The sequence below is a fragment of the Homo sapiens genome, chromosome 16 (genome assembly GCF_000001405.40).
Source record: "Homo sapiens chromosome 16, GRCh38.p14 Primary Assembly".
Taxonomy (NCBI): Eukaryota; Metazoa; Chordata; class Mammalia; order Primates; family Hominidae; genus Homo; species Homo sapiens.
Genome location: NC_000016.10, coordinates 5,858,642 through 5,876,426, shown reverse-complemented (window position 1 = coordinate 5,876,426; position 17,785 = coordinate 5,858,642). Strand labels below are relative to the sequence as shown.

The 17,785-nt window shown below is 44.1% G+C and overlaps 1 protein-coding gene across 4 annotated transcripts in view, besides 1 other annotated feature; it reads right to left on the bottom strand.

The window, feature by feature from the left end:
* The window catches only part of RBFOX1 (RNA binding fox-1 homolog 1), a 2,473,620-nt gene that overhangs the window by 1,836,914 nt on the left and 618,921 nt on the right, over positions 1-17,785 (bottom strand). For all 4 annotated transcript variants that reach the window (NM_001415887.1, NM_001415888.1, XM_017023318.3 and 1 more), the window contains one exon: positions 9,092-9,124. In NM_001415887.1, coding sequence (NP_001402816.1) covers positions 9,092-9,124 — 33 coding nt within the window. The remainder of the gene's footprint in view (positions 1-9,091; positions 9,125-17,785) is intronic.
* Positions 4,488-5,457: an enhancer, noted in NCBI's record as "OCT4-NANOG-H3K4me1 hESC enhancer chr16:5920971-5921940 (GRCh37/hg19 assembly coordinates)". NCBI's record gives its function as "activates a minimal SCP1, AML or CMV promoter by ChIP-STARR-seq in primed H9 embryonic stem cells {active_cell/tissue: H9 hESC(primed)}" and the evidence as "EXISTENCE:reporter gene assay evidence [ECO:0000049][PMID:30033119]".

Here is a 17,785-nt window from a genome sequence, read left to right as displayed (position 1 = left end):
AGCCTCGGGTGTGAGTCTCAACTTCCCTCCTATTACATTTGTGACTCATTTAACTAACCATGTTAAGCCTCAGTATGCTCATCTGTAAAACAGAAAAAATGATAGGATGTACTTCATAGGGTTATATTGTGAGGATGAAATTAAATAAGATAAGGCAGGCGGAATGACTTGCAGAGTGGCCTGGCTGGCACAGACTCAGGTGCTAATTAAAAGTTAGCTGTTTTTCCCCCCATTTGGTTGTTTTTACTCATTAACCCCCAATGCAAGGTAAAAATTGTGGGATAGGCCGGGCGCGGTGGTTCACACCTGTAATCCCAGCACTTTGGGAGGCCAAGGCGGGTGGATCACGAGGTCATAAGATCAAGACTACCCTGGCTAACACGGCGAAACCCCTTCTCTACTAAAAATACAAAAAATTAGCTGGGTGTGCTGTCGGGGGCCTGTAGTCCCAGCTACTCGGGAGGCTGAGGCAGGAGAATGACATGAAGCTGGGAGGCGGGGCTTGCAGTGAGCCCAGATGGCGCCACTGCACTCCAGCCTGGGAGACAAAGCAAGACTCCCTCTCAAAAAAAAAAAAAAAGTGGGATTCTTCTAATTCATCCCCCAAACCTCACAGCAACAGATACCTAGTTTTTCAAATAAAGAAGTAGAGAAATTTTACAACGGTTCACTTTTCCAGAGACCCTTAATCAATTTTCACAGAGGAAGATGCTTCTGAAACACTCTTAGGAATGATGCTTCCATGTGGGTTCAGACGCCAGGAATTGGTTCTAGTTGATACTTCTGCTATTTCCTATTGTAGCTTAGAATGAGTCACCAAGCACACTAATAAAAGTAACCACTACAACGACTAGTGTGTATTATGGACTACTTACGCACCAAATAATATGCTTATTGCCTTCTGTAAGCTACAGTATGCCTTTCCACTTCTCAGAATAAGCCATAAGGTTCATTCTTTAATTGTCCCCATGCTATGTAACAGACAAACGAGACAAAGAAAGATTAAGTCATTTGCCCGAGTTTCACCACTCACTGGGACTGGAGATAAACAATGGCAGTCATGCTGTTCCTAGTGGAGACAGCCCAGGTGTTGCAATCAGACAAACCTGGTTCAGATATGGCTCCCACTATTTTTGAGTAAGTTTGGCCAACCTACACCACTTCTCCACATCTCAGTTTTTTTGTCTGTAACATGGAGGCATTCACAGTTATTTCAAAGATTGCTGTAAAGATAATGCAGTGCTTGGGACTCCGTTCACATGTGGTAAATGATGGCTGCAATTATCAACGCTGCTGCTGCTGTTGCTATGGGAAGGTTCTTACTCATCTCCCCGCTAAGTGCTTTTGGATGTCAGCTTGCTGGTTAGTCAGCCTCTCACCAGCATCTCATATCAGCTATTTCTTCTCTCTGCTTATTTTTCCCCTCTAACCTCTAGTTCTGCCTCTATTCTCCATCCATTCATTCATGCATTTATTTATGGGGGACGGGGTCTTGCTCTGTCACCAAGACAGGGGTCCAGTGGTGCAATCATAGCTCACTGCAGCCTCAAACTCCTGGGTCCCAAGTGATCCTCCCGTCTCAGCCTCCTGAGCAGCCAAGATTACAGGTGTGCACCACATTGCCTGGCTAATTTTCTAAATTGTTTGGAGAGAGAGGGTCTTGCTACAATGCCCTGGCTGGTCTCAAACTCCTGGTTCAAGTGATTTTCCTGTCTCTGCCTCCCCAAGTGCTTGGATTACAGGCATAAACCACCTCGCCCAGCTGCTCTCCTTATTCTCAGCACATATATTTCCCTCTGCTATTCACTGGGGAAGTGAAGGTTGCCAGGCATAACCTGTTTCAATTTATCTTCCTTCTCCTTCAAAATGTATCCACATTTACTCTCCATCTTTTTTTCCTTCAGTGTTCTTAGAAGAAAAAAAAATATCTCTGCTCAGTCCAATCAGTACCATAGCTCTCTGGTGCTAGACAATGATGAGCAAAACACAACAGCCTCAAGAACACTCGGATCACCTTTCAATGTGTAAATCCCCGACTGTGCCCCACCATCGTATCCTCTGAGGCCTGTTCTCCAAGACTACAATATACCCAAGCCTCTGCCATCTTCCAAATTCCTTCCCAACTCCTGCCTTTCCTTCAAGCCAGAGGACCATTGATCCCTTGAATCAACCAATGGCTGCTTTGAACAGCTGGGCTCCAGTGTGGCCCATGTGTCTTCTCCTTCTGTTTACTCCTAAGACATCCACATTGGAAAGGCTGCTGTTAAGGACACTAATGATGGCACGACTGCCAAACTCAGTGCCATGGGTCCTGACCCTGTTTCCTCAAACCCTCTGAATTATCCAATACCCCTACCTCTCTCTTGTAACCATCTTACTCTTTGATTTCCATGAGGATGCTGGGCCCTGGTTCTTCTGTGTTCCTTCTGATTACATCATTCTCCTTCACTGTTTCCACACTTACTTTTCACTTATTCTCTGAGCAGGCAGCTTTTTTCCCATCTCTTCCTTTTCTCAGGCCCTTGACTTTTCTTTACCTGATGACAACCTAACCTAATCCACCCTTCAAAGCTCCAGTCTGCATACTACCTCCTCTGAGAAGCCTCTATAAATATCCCTAGCCTATCTAGACTCATTTATGTTTTAACCGAGATCCAGAACTTACCAAATATGTAGGAAGCCTTATGGGGACAGTTTTGCTCTATTGACAACATCAGTCCTCATGAGACAAGTGAAACTACAGCATTTATTCTATAATGCTATAATGAACCATCAGTTATTTGAGGGTATGATAGTGTGTCAACTTTGTACACGTATTCCCAGGCCTAGTATTGTGCCTAGACTATAAGAGACTGTCACTTAAACGTTCAAGAAATTACAAAACACTAACCATATCTCCAACTGAGAATTCTGGACTCTTGAATTAAGACCACATGATTGTTTAGAGTTCTTTAAATATTCTTTGGTGCTGGCTTCAAGGACGGAGATGACTATCAAAGCATGACTGGGCAAAATTAGACAAGGCCAAGAGTGCTCATTGGAAAGTACTGCTGATCTTCAAGTGGATCTTGTCCTTGGGTGGAGACAAGAGGGCCATTAACTCCAATGTGAATTAAGTCATAGGAGTGAACTTCTGTCTGGTTAGGGCAGGATACAGCCATGTTGCAAAGGTAGCACAGCAAGCTTTCAAAACAACAGGTCTCGATGATTCCTAATTAGGTTATTTAATTATTGTTTTGTTGTTGTTGTTGTTGTTGTTGTTTGTTTCTTTGTTTTGAGATGGAGTCTTGCTCTGTTGCTAGGCTGGACTATGCAGTGGCATGATAGTAGCTCACTGCAACCTCTGCCTCCTGGGTTCAAGCTATTCTCTTGCTCAGCCTCCCAAGTAGCTAGGACTACAGGTGCGTGCCACCACACCCAGCTAATTTTTGTATTTTTAATAGAGATAGTACTTCACCATGTTGGCCAGAATGGTCTGGATCTCTTGACCTCATAATTCACCTGTCTTGGCCTCCCAAAGTGCTGGGATTACAGGCATGAGCCACCACACCCTAATTATTGTTTTACTTAATACAAATGTAAGTGAAGGGGGACTTTGTATGGAAGCAAAATACTAATTGTTGAACATCTACTGTATGCCAGGCTCTGTCTTAAGCATTGTATTATTTTCTTTCTTTTTTTCTTTTTTTTTAAGACAGGGTCTAGCTCTGTCACCCAGGCTAGAGTGCAGTGGTGCAATCTTGCCTCACTGCAACCTCAACCTCCTGGGCTCAAGCAACCCTCCCACCTCAGCCTCCTGAGTAGCTGGGACTACAAACACACAGCACCACACCTGCCAATTTTTTTTTTCTTTCTGTAGAGATTCGGTTCTTCCTCATCTGTTGCCCAGGCTGGTCTCGAACTCCTGGGCTCAAGTGATCTTCCTGCCTTGGCCCTCCAAAATGCTAGGACTACAGGTGTGAGCCACCATGCCCAGCCAGGCATTGCATATTGATTATTTCATTTAAAGTTCAAACAAACCTTGTACTTTATTTCACCATTCCCATTTTGTGGAGAAAAGACTTGCTTAGCAGTTAAGTAACTTGACTACAGTCACATAACTCACAAGTGTGGACCCATCATTCACACCTCATCTACAAGACTCCAAAACTCTTGCTCTTTCCACTGTAACCTTCTTGATGAAACAGCTCAACAGACCCTTGTTAAATGTGCTAGGTTCTCAAATGACACAGGATGGCTAGGACTGATCTTCTGTTCACAGACTAAGCAGCTCAGCCCCTTTCTCAAACGCACTGGTGTCTTTTAGTAGGTAAGAATATTTTTAATGGGCTCTGCAACCCCCAATTTATTTTCCTGAGAACGAGGCTTGGAAGACAAGAGAAATAAATGATTCCTAGGCCTAGGATAAAGTTTCCTTTTGGAAGGAAAAAATAATGGTAGGAGGGAGATTCCACCTACATTCTCCCAAGGCCACTGAGTTTGCTACCTGCGTAGTTTCCCATTGCAATTATTTGGGATAGCAGAGCTGTAATATCAATCAATCTCAGTTCGATTGCTTTGCCATGAAATAAAAGCAGGCCAATTTATCAAAATTGAGGCCCTCCACTGAGTTTACATTGCCATTAAAGTATCAACAGGAAATCATTAAGGTGAGGCAAGAAACCAACTGGTAAGTGAAATGAAATGAATTTTTTTTTTCCTCAAACATCCTCTTCTATAACCTCCTTTGTTTGGCTGTCAGCATAGACAACGTGGGGCTGGGTCTCAGATCTTTGTGTTAATATACAGCTGGTGGTGGAGAGGACTCAGACATACGCATTTGCAATCCAATGGCTGCGCCCAGGTAACTTCGTTCTCTCTCAGCAGGGCAAGCTGCGTGACGATAAATAGGGGGGAAATGTGTATGCGTTTTTGCGATAAAACAGGCTTAATGATTTTGAAGGGGAAGGAGTCTAGGAGACATACAGTAGCAACTTAGGAACAAAATGGAACCATGCAGGGCCAATTAATGTGCAAATATGTGTGTGCTGAACTTGCATTCCATTCATCATGTGGACATGGAAATTGGGCCATTTATCTGTTATATTATGTATGTGACATCTTAGTTTGGTTCTTAAAGGCTGCTTGGGGACAAAGGGCCAGGTGCTTTGCGGCTAGCAGAGGGAATTTCAGATAAATTCTTCAGCTGTCATAAACATTGCTGGGCAGAATTTGGTCAGAAGATAAAGCTCTTTCCTCTACAGGGTTTTTAACGTTTCTCAATAGCTCATGTGCCATCTTATTAAAACTGTGTGTGGTGCAGGGAGGGGTGGCATATGCCATGAAAATTTATTGGCACAAACAGCTTGCTGTCATGTTTTCAAAGTCCAGATTTAGCAAACGTTATTCACATATTCACTGTCAATCTGCAGAGAGAAAGGGAACTGGCAAAGCCACTCATTCTCACTGATTCTGTGGGTTTGTCATTCTTTTTGTCTCCTTTTAACCAATATCTCCTCCACAGGTGGGGTTTGTTCTGCTTAAATTACAACTGTTTGTCTCTACTTGGGGGTGGGGGGGAAAGAAAGTCATTTGAGAAGGAAAAGGACCTTAGAGAAGCATTTTCCCAGAGCCACTATTATTTACCTAACAGAACATGCCATGAATATGGATCACGCATTAAATAACGGTGATCGCTTGTTTTGATGAATTGCCATTAGAAATTCAATTAATAAAAGGTTACCTCCCTGCTGTCATGAAAAAAAATATGATGTGGCTGCAGCAATGATAATTCAGCCTTAGGAAAAATGGTAAGGAAAAAAAAAAGACTAAAAAAAACTGTTCCATCTGGGAAATGGGAGACTGGAATAAAAAAAGAATGAAGGAAGGAAGACTATTTTTGATCAAAAGTGTTTCTGTACATTAAGCATTCCTACACTTCCTAATTCCCTTCATCTCACTTACCCCCACCATGACCATCTGACCATTCCCCCACCCCATCATCCTGGTTGATACATTTTGTGTTTTCTCTCTTTTTTCTTGCCAAGTGCCTTCATTTTTTTTTTTTTTTTTTTGCCATACAAATTACAACCTGTAAGATGCACACGTTTTCATTGTAGAGCTCTATCAGTTTTATATATGATGGTTACCTCCGTAAATACATCCAGATGAGAGTGTTGGACATTCCCATTAGGTCCCTTTCTGCCCCTACCCAGCCAACGCCTCCCAGAGGTAACCACTATTGCTACTTTTATCATCAGAGATGAATGTTGTCTGTTTATTTTTTATATATAAATAATATATAGAATATATAAATAATATAAATGTAGGTGTGTATATGTACATATGTAAATGAAATCATGGAGGGTACATTCTTTTGTTCTGATATTTTTCTTATAATATTATATTACTAAGAGTCATACAGGTTGTGTCATACACCTATAGATAATATTTTTTGATTGCTGTATTGTATTTCATTGCATGAATACACCACTATTGATTGATCTGTTACTCTGTTAATAGACATTTGGTTTGTTTCCAGTGTTTGGGTATGGTAAATAAATCCTTTATGGGAATTCTTGCATGTGTTGTTTTGGTGGACATAAGCACCGTTTCTCTTGGGCATACAAGTAGAAGTGGAATTGTTGGATTTTTAAACATTATTTCACCTATGTAGGAACTACTGCAACTCCTCAGACCTCCTTTTTTCAACAGGTAAAATGAGGATAAGAAATATCTTGTGAACAGCCGGGCGCGGTGGCTCATGCCTGTAATCCCATCACTTTGGGAGGCCGAGGAGGGCAGATCACGAGGTGGTCAAGAGATAGAGACCATCCTGGCCAACATGGTGAAACCCCATCTCTACTAAAAATACAAAAACTAGCTAGGCATGGTGGCACGCACCTGTACTCCCAGCTACTTGGGAGGCTGAGGCAGGAGAATCACTTGAACCTGGGAGGCGGAGGTTGCAGTGAGCCGAGATTGTGCCACTGTACTCCAGCCTGGTGACTGGGAGAGTCCCCATCTAAAAATATATACGTATAAATCTTGTGAAGTTTAAAAGGGGCAACATGATCGTTTTCTTGTTGGATGATTGTTTTAAACTGCCAAATAAGATGCAGATATAAGAATGTGTCTGGGGAAACGAAGAAAGATGGAAGATCATAGGAAACACACAGCTGTCTCAGGTGATGACCACAGAGAAACAGGACATATTCAGGTATGCTCCAGAAAGCGCAATCAGTCCTTCATGACTGGCAGAACTAATATTTACTGAACACCCACTGTTTACCAGGCCATAATCTGGGTGGGTTACATGGCATGGCACTTTGTACCCTGCCAGACATGGTTATGAATTCCAACTCTATACCTCATTAGTTGAACAGCACTAGGAAAGTTACTCAGCCTTTCTAAGTCCCAGTTCACTCTTCTGTGAAATAGGGATCATCATAGCCTATACATCACAAAATTTTTTTAAGGATTTTATATAACGATGCGTGCAGTGCAATTATAAATAAATGGTGCATCAGAGATGCTAAATACACAGAAACTGGTATTCCCGTGACAGCAAACCACCAGAGGAAACACTGCCGTTGCCATTTTAATGCTCTCGACAGCCTCATAGGATGCATATTGCTATTCCTATTCCAAAAATGAGGAAACAAAATTTGTGTTGTTTAATAACTCACTCGAGTGACTGGTCACAAGATCATGGGGACATAGGTGACAGTGGGGGCTGCTCATCTCTGCCCTATCCTTGTGCTTCCCAAATCCCTGCCTCACTAGGCATCTGAAATCACTCACACTATGAATGCATCACAGCTCCTGGAAAACCTTTGCACACCAAGTTACTGTATCCGAGGATGCCGACATTTGAACGGGAATGGATACTTGTGGATAATGATCTCCCCTTAGGTGTTTGCAGAATCCTGCGAGAATCTGCCTCCACAAGCTTTATTCTATTTTACCCTACTAACGACTGTGTGATGGATCAAAGGGAGATATAACCATCCCCATGGTATACCTGAGGAAAGCGAAAACCCACAGTTAACCCATTTATGCCTGAGGTTGCAATTTCTTGAACTTGAAAAATCAGACTTTGGTGATGACCTCATTGAGCAGTAGGATATAAATACCTCCACATGCTTAGGGTTCCAATAATGCAACACTGGACGTCACACAGAGCCCTGGGCTCCTGGGACCTGGGTCAGTGTTCTTTGCTTTAACCACACAGTGGCTCAGGAGTGAGAGTGACCGGCTCTATCGTGCTGGGCATATTTTGCAGGAGCCCATTACATTACAACATGGACAATTTCCAATGGGTGGTCACCTTGCTGGTGACTTCTGAACAGCTTCGTTTTTTATTCTTTACCTATGTTGTCAGCATCCACCACAATTCCTTTCATGCCTTGGAGACTGAGTAGAGAAAGAAAAACAGGCTGGGCATGGTGGCTCACACCTATAATCCCTGCATTTTAGGAGGCTGAGGCGAGCAGATCACTTGAGGCCAGGAGTTTGAGACCAGCTTGGTCAACATGGTGAAACCCTGTCTCTACTAAAAACACAAAAATTAGCCAGGCGTGGCGGTGCACACCTGTAATCCCAGCCACTCAGGAGGCCGAGGCAGGAGAATCACTTGAACCCGGGAGGCGGAGGTTGCAGTGAGCCGACATCATGCCACTGCACTCCAGCCTGGGCAACAGAGTGAGACTCTGTCCCAAAAATAAAATAAAATAAAGGAAAGGAAAAAAATATACAAAGAAAAGCCAAAAGAGAAGGAATGGGGAAACTATATAATACAGACAGTGGAGGTCTCATTGGCAGAGCCAGGGCTTTGTCTGAGCTGGGCTAGAATTATGATGTATCTGTCAAGAAACAGACGCTGAAGTCACCCTGCACCATCTTTACCACGCACACTCCATGAAGAGCAGTGCGGTGACCTGGGCACCCCAAAACCCAGCAGCACAGAAACCACTCAACTGAAAACACACCATCCAAGCCACCAGGAAATGAAACACGGAAGAATCATTGCTAGAATGCTCGTTACACTCCATCACAAAAGAAACCCACTTCAAACTATCTTCTAAAGGGACAGAAAAACCACGTTTCCTACCTCAGCTTTGCCTGTAGCCTGACTTGCCGAAACCTGCAAGTTAAACAAAAAAAGACATTAGTATTGATTCAACAAGAAGGTAATTGGATTAATTGTCTTTTTAAAGGAACTGGCATCAATAATTTGTTATGACCCGAGGGGACAAAGGTTGCAACACACACCACACACACACACACACACACACATGCATTTTCTTCCACCAAGCACAGCAACATGATTTGTTTATCCAGCCCTGTTAATAAGGTGAATAGGATAATTAGTATTTTCAACATATTATAACAATCTTGTCAAGAAAAAAATAAGTGGGGAGGGCTGTGAGCAATGTCCATGTACTGATAATGATTAAATAAACACTGAAAAAGAAAACAAAGGCACTGAAGACATTTTTAATGTGTTTTTTTCCTTCCCTTAAAGTTTCAAGTCAGTGTTATGAGAAACACCAGGTAAAAGCTACAATGACAGCAACAGCAGCAGCTTCATGTTTGCAAAATTCCTCAAAATATTGTGAAATAGAGTTGTGCCAGGAATGGTGCCAAGTTGTTTATATATTTTATCTCATTTAAACCCTTGAATAACTTTTATGACCCCATTTCATAAATGAAAATATTGGGGTTTGTACAAGTTAGGTAACTTTTCCAAAGTCGGGATGTTATTAAGCATAAGAAATTAGATTTAAACCCAACATAAAGTCACGTAGATGTTCAGCCTCCTATCTACAAGCCTACTGTATATCAAAGGATTTGGTGTAGACACCTCCCAACATTGTTCATCTATGCCTAGAAAGGGTCTCCTATCTAGAGATCAGATCTTTTTCTCTGTGTGATAACTCTTAAGAAGCTTTCTATCTTACAACTTCTCTTATACCTGGATGACTTGGCCAACCTCAGCCATATTGTCCTATCTGACTACTTGGACTGAGCTATGTCCCCAAAATTCATATAATGAACCCCTAACCCCCACTGTGATTGTATTTGGAGACTGGACCTTTGGAAAGTAATTAAGTTTAGATGATGTCATGAAGGTAGGCCCTCATGATGGGATTAGTGCCCATCAAAGAAGAGACAGCTGCCTGGGCACAATGCCTCATGCCTATAATCCCAGAACTTTGGGAGGCCGAGATAGGTGGATCATGTGAGGTCAGGAGTTCGAGACCAGCTTGGCCAACATGGTGAAACCCCATCCCTACTAAAAACACAAAAAATTAGCTGGGCATGGTGGTGTGCACCTGTAATCGCAGCTACTCGGGAGGCTGAGGCAGGAGAATCCCTTGAACCGCGGAGGCAGAGGTTGCATTGAACTGAGATTGCGCCATTGCACTCCAGCCTGGGCAACAAGAATGAAACTCCGTCTTAAAAAAATGAAACATAAAAGAGGAGAGAGAGCAGAGAACTTACTTTCTTTCTCTCTCTCCCTCTCTCCCTCTCTCTCTCTCTCCTCCTGCACACAGGAAAGGCCACATGCAGACACAGCAAGAAGGCAGCCACCTACAACCCAATGAGCAGACCCTTTTCTCATACCGAGTCTGCTGGTACCTTCATCTTGAACTCTCAGGCTCCAGAGTATGAGAAATATATTCCTGTTGGTTAAGCTGCAGTCCATGGTGTTTTACTATGGCAGCCCAGGCTAAGACACAGACCAATACCAGCTCACAAATGTGAATCCAACAAAGGACTTAAGAACGAATGACTTCCTGAGTTAGCTGACCAGCCCCTGCAGCTCCCACTGACCTGGCTTTGGCACCAACTCTCCCACACTCACTCCCAAGGCATCAGATGAGGAGCTCAGGCAGAGCTCGCTGTCCATGGAGCAGCTTTCATGCACCATTAGCCCTCTAAACAGGAGACCAGATTTCAGACTGACCTCAGCCAAGAAAGTCCATGAGCTGTGGCTGAAGGCTTGCCAAGCCATGAATCCGGGGCCCAGCCATGGGGAAACTCATGGTGTGATGGATGTCAGAGTTTGGAACCTTCCCTCCCCTCCCTCATTCCTGGCGCCCGTTCAGGACTGGGAAAGCAGCTGATTCCATGGTGATCAGCCACATCCGTAAAGCACAAGCACACAAGATCCCTGGGCTACATTATCTCACGTGAATGTGTGTATTTCTCTGCTGAAAACCAACAGGAATATGTCAGGGAAATATGATATTCAACAGCTATGAGCCTTGGGCAGAACTACCCTCTCTGCTTCACTAAGCTCCATGGGCAAAAGAGTTTTCAGCTGACTACTCTGATGTCCCCCAAGTCATACTTTTAGTGTTTCCTAACCTTGTGTCATTTACATCATCAAGCCCCTCTTATTCCCCCCATTAGGTGGAAGCCACTTCTCGCATCTACCATAGGGAAATACAAACATAAAAAGGCATACACATAGCTGTCCATTGTGGCATTGATCTGACAGAAATACATTTTTTAAAAAGTATAATGACTAAAGTACAGGGTTTGAATATTCAACCACCTATAGTGGGAGAGACAGTAGGGAGTGGCAGGGCCTGTGGGGTAACTAATGATTGCCCACTAGCTAAAGCCATTTGCGTTTCAGTTTTTCCCAGGCAAAACACGGTTCTAGCCAAACAAAAAACACATACATGATCTGAATGTGGCTGTTGGACTTCCAGTTTCTGATCTTTTAAGCCAAGTCAATTATGATCCATCCATATTATAAACTATCATACAGCTTGGGGAAGATTCTTATATGCTGACATTAAAAACTCTACAGCATATATTGTTAATGAAAAACGAAACATTCAGAAAAGTGTACATAAGATACCATTTTCTAAAAAAAAAAAAAACTCAAGTATGTATACATCATCCATCTCTCCCTCACCACACACACAATAGATGCATATGTGAAAAATGTATCAAAGGAGATACATCAAACCGACAAAAGGTTTACTCCTGAGCAAACTGGAACTTGACTGGGACCCAAAGGGTGAAGAAAAGTCAATGGCAACTTTCTCTTTTCCTGAATTGTTTAAGATGTTTACATTGATAATGTATCCACTTGTAAAATTAAATATACGTTTAAACCAGGATAAAAAATAAAGCTTCGTACCACTTTAGCGTTAACAAGAGACCTTGTCTTTGCTGCTGTGAATAGTGTTGTGATCATGGACTTCGCAGGGACATCGATGGAGCTGGAGGCCATTATCCTTAGCAAACTAACACAGCAACAGAAAACCAAATACTGCATATCCTCACCTAGAAGTTGGAGCTAAATGATGAGAGCACATGGACACATAGAAAGGAACAATACACAATGGGGCCTTCTGGAGGGTGGAAGGTGAAAGGAGGGGGAGGATCACGAAAAATAATGGGCACTAGGCTTAATACCTGGGGGATGAAATCATCTGTACAACAAACCCTCATGACACAAGTTTACCTTTGTAACCTGCAATATGTACCTCTGAGCTTAAAAGTTAAAAGAAATTCACGAAAAAATTGGAAAGAAAGAGACCTTGTGGAAATGTTGGCTATTTTTTTCTTATTAAAGAGGAGACTAAAAAGAACTCTCTCAAACATTCACATATGAGGGCACAGTAGAAGGTAAGGCATATAGTGATGCAACAGGGAGTGGTACGGCTTGTGGCCAACTAAAGGTAAACTATACCGCATTAATCATTTTACCAATCAGCTAAATATATGAAACAAGGGGTAAACTTTACTGAGGCCCCTCTAGGTATCTAGAACCCTCTCTACGCTGCATTCAGAGTGGATTTCATAGTCAAAATTATATTAGATTCAGAGACTCCCTTCTAAGGCAGGTAGTATTCATGAATGTGCACCCACAGACCTCAGGGTTTGTCACGACCCACTGTGGCTGGACTGCACGCTGGGCAAGCCAGACCGTACCGCAGAGGCCTGCTGGAGGATGGAGGGCTCTTTAAGGGTTGCTGACGCCAGCTGCAACCATGGGCTTTTATCAAGCCATCAGCAGTCATCAGAGTGTCTGCAGTGGGGGGCTGATATGATTAGAGCCGTGTTTGAGGCGGGCCATTCTGTGGACCAGCGCAGGGTGCAAAACGGACGTGGGAAACTTCCAGCAGGACTCTCTTGAAAGCTTTGTTCCAGCTATTTCCCATCCCTTTAATCATTTCCCTTCCTCTCCTTCGGTTTCTCTGCATGTGTTTGAAATCGCAAAGGCCGACATTAAGGGTTTCCTTCTCACTTGTGCTAGGAACTCAGTGGACGTGATTCCTTTTCAACTGAGATTGGAGACATAAAGAGCCTTGCCCAAGGCCACACCAGGGACTTTCAGGGGCCGGGTCTGAACTCAGGTCGAACTCCAAAGCTGCCTTTGAGACCCAGGCAGGGATTCTGCCACATGATGGAGACCTGGATTCCCTCCTGGGACTCCCACACATCAGGAGATGTCCGGACTGAGTTAATGGACAGAGGGAAGATCACTGTCCAGTCACAGCCACCTGTTCTCCCTGAACCCCTTCTGAGATGCCCAAACACTGTCTGGGGCTCTGATGCTGCAAACCAGTATGTGGTGTGTGCCTTCCATGCTGAACAGCGTGGGGCTACCCTGTATAACTTTTATAGGGTCGTGTTAGGTCTCTTTCGGAAACATGACACAAAAACAACTCAAAATGGCTCAAGCACAGGAAGGAATTTATCAGCTCATTCAAGGGATAGAGCTCACTTTAAATGGATCCAGATAAGGATCAAAGAGATTTAATTACTTCCCTGGCAAGCAGTAGAGCTGTAAACTGAACCCGGTCTCTATCATCCTAGACAGCGCTCCCTGCACAGCTCTGCAATGCTCCCATCCAAAAACCCTGACACGCAGTGGGTGACTGTCTGCTATTCCCTGGTTGGACATTATCCCTTCCCCTCTCACTGATTGATGCAGGTCACCCCATCCCTGCCTCCAGTATTTACAGTAGGGATGGCTGTGCCAACGGTGCTACAAGCGACCCGCCAGGCAGCAAGACTGAATAATCACACCCCTCCCTCAAGTGCCATCCCTGGTAGGCCTCCAGATTTCCCTCCCCACCAGCAAATGACACACCACGGTGCCGGACCGGGAAGGCTTTAACTGTGACGTCAGTGCATCTTAACTTAAACTGGCATTCCAGGTAAACACGAGGATCCGTGGCAGCATTTGGGTGATTACTTCTGTTGCTAGTCATTCACATGAAAATCTTAGATCCCCAAACCCTGAAGGAGTCTAGCAGGTCGTCTTTGCCAGACTGTCTCTGGCTTAGATAGAACTGACTTATGGAATGGTCTGACACCAGCGTATGAAATGAATGACACACATGTGGAGGTTTTTGAGCTGTAAGGACACCTCGGCCAGACACAGAGAATGGCCGTCACTCTCAGGCCTGAGAATTCCTGTCCTCTCAAGTCCAACTCTGTGTAAAACTTTAATCTCACGTACAGTATAAGACGCATCTCCTCCATTCCCCCCACAGGCAGCAACCAGAAGGACTAACTGGGGAGAATGCATGGTCTTTTCTTTCCTGACCTCTTTCCCCTTTGGTTTTCTGGTTTCATCTGTTCTGCCATTGCGTCTAAGAAGATGGGTTCAAGAGAAAGGGCAACAACATCCTTTGCACTTTGCAACAAATGAAATCATCTGCTAATGCCTCTGGTGATCAGGTGAATTCCAATAGCAACAAATGCCCTGTGTATGAAAGATGTCCAAATGCTGGCACCGTCATGGGGCATGGGTGGATTAGGGGGAGTCCTATGGGTGAAGGCTGCTTATGTTCGTCAAGGATATCTAAGCTACAGTTGCAAATAGAACCAAATGCATAACAGCCCAACACAATGGACATTCATTCCTTTCTCATGTAGGAGTCCCAGGTGGGAGAGCAAATTGAATAACAGATCTCTTCCACGTGAATATTCAGAAAATCAGAGTGAAAGAGGCTCTGCTACGCTTAAGATGTGACTTCCAAAGCCACCATCATCATCTTTGTCCCAATCTGACAGGAGGAGAATGAGTAGTGGTTTTTAGAGACCACACCCAGAAGCAGCATGCATCATTCCAGCTCACATTCAATTGTCTAGAGCTCAGTCACATAGTCACCTGTGTGGCACGGGGGTGTAAGCATGTAGCCAACCGTGTATCAAAGGGGAGAAGATGGTTCTGGTGAACAGACCCAGCTGGCTGCCCACACATCCCCACTGAAGCACTACTTTGTACAAGATCCTCCTACATGGTTCCATGATAGGAAATCCACTTCTGCTCAACCTCTCCCAAACTCTCCTGGTGATAGAATGCTGGCAGTGTGACTCCATCTCTTGACACTGAGATTGTTCACCTTGCAGCTGGTTCTCTCTGGTACACCAGCCACAAAGCTCAAACCCAGTTTCTCTTTGGTATCCCTTTAGCCTTCAGGAAACTCAGGTCCTCACCTAGCCACAAAAAGCGAGAGCAAAGCAGAGAATGAAGCTTTCTCTCTCCTCCATTCCTTTTTATCTCCACCTGCACAAATAAGCCCAGAAGAACGACCATCAAAGATGCTGCGTGAGTAGATCAGGGCCTCTTTTTGCTGGCCTCCCAGTATCTACAAGAGGAGCCCTGGAGCTTGGCTTTTTTCATGATGTTGTGGAGAAGGACGTTGACCCATGACTCATTCTTCTCTCTCTTCTTGAATCCTCTCTGATCTTCTGCTTATATAGACTAGTGGACACTAGAAATAGCACAATTGCCTTGTCCTCTTTTAGCCCTGGGGAGGTATCTGGACCTCACTATTTTGGAACTTATCATGCATAGCTTATCTCTGCAGGCAACTTTGCGTCCTAATGATCCATTTGGGGATAACAGGAAACACTGCATTCCCCTTCTCCTCTACACAGCCACCTTGACAAATGGGAGCAAGCAACAGGTTGTGAGTTCTTAAACAAACTGAGTCAACTCTTTTCTTGAACCAATTTGAATCTCTAGACTGTTTTCACAGGCACAAACAGAAAACCTTATAGTCCTATTGTCAAAAAGTGGTGAAGTAGGCCAGGCGCGGTGGCTCACGTCTGTAATCCCAGCACTTTGGGAGGTGGAGGCGGGTGGATCACGAGGTCTCCTGACCAGCCTGACCAACATGGTGAGACCCCTTCTCTGCTAAAAATACAAAAATTAGCTTGGCATGGTGGCATGCGTCTGTAATCCCAGCTACTCAGGAGGCTGAGGCAGGAGAGTCACTTGAATCCAGGAGGCGGAGGTTGCAGTGAGTTGAGATCATGCCATTGCACTCCAGCCTGGGCGACAGAGTGAGACTCCATCACAAAAAAAAAGAAATGCTGACAGTGTCCACTACTGTCTACTGGGCTGCTCTCTGGGCACCCACAGCTGAAATGTCAGAATTTTGACTATCCTAAGATAGCCTTGTTGCAGAGGCTACATCTAGGTGCTTTGGGATCAGTCCCACGGGAGCCCAGGCTTCCAGTCTTCCTGACCAATGTGCCAGTCAACTGAATTTCACCAAGAAACCTGAGTCAACTCATGCCCAGCAGGCGCTGCCTAGATTCCTGACCCACAGTATCTTGAGGTATAATAAACGGTTACTAAGTTTTAGGGATATTCTGTTACATGACCATAGATGATGACAAGTGACTTAGCCTCTCTGATTCCATAATTTTATACCTGTAAAATGGAAATAGCATTTTATAAGACTGCTGTAAGAAGCAAAACAATATGTTCAAGGTGCCTGGCATGGTTGCTGGCCAATGGTAGGCAGAGTTTTATCCTCCCTGTCACAAAACCCTGGGCACCTATGCTGTTCTTTGTGATTTTCCACTGTAAACTTTCTTCCTTTGCTGGCAAGTGATTTTCAGAACCTTCAACTTGATCTCCAGCTGGTAGAATGTGTAAGGACAAAAATGCCTGATCTTTATACGTCCTTACTCTACCATGGGAAAGTTACCTTACCTGTCTGAGGCTCAGTTTCCTTATTTAAAAAGGGACACAAAAATCTTTCTTGCTGTTTTATGTATATTCAATGGGAACGTCTGGCTTAGAGTTGGAGATTGAGAATGGATAGCTGTGGTTTTGTGAGTTCAAGGTAATCACTGTAACAGTAGCAGAAGTCCTAACATCTGATATTATGAGCCCTACCACATTCAACAGAGCCACTTGCAAACAGCCCACCTACAGGGTTGTTTTTGTTTTTGTTTTTGTTTGTGAGACAGAGTCTCGCTGTGTCGCCCAGGCTGGAGTGCCGTGGCGTGATCTCGGCTCACTGTAACCTCCACCTCCCAGGTTCAAGCAATTCTTATGCCTCAGTCTCCCAAGTAGCTGGGACCACAGGCACCCACAATCATGCCTGGCTAATTTCTGTATTTTTAGTAGAGATGGGGTTTCACCATGCAGGCTTGAACTCCTGATCTCATGTGATCTGCCCACCTCAACTTCCCAAAGGGCTGGGATTACAGGCGTGAGCCACCAGACCCGGCCCCAAAGGGGTATTTCTGAAGTAGGCAGCTTCCCCTCTCCCTATCTCTTTCTCTTCTATTCTGGCCTGGGACTTGGTTCCAGCCACTGAGCCGCCAGGACTCATCTTAAATTTTAACCATAAGTGTAAAAAAGGAAAGAGCCCATTCATGGATGATATTCATCTCCCTACCTCCCTTCCCATCTCCTACCAAATTCTGCAGGCTCCAGACATGTCCAATGAATAAATGTCTCTTAAAATTCTTCTAGAAAACGCACAAGGTTTCTCTTAATAACTCTCACTGTCAGGAATGA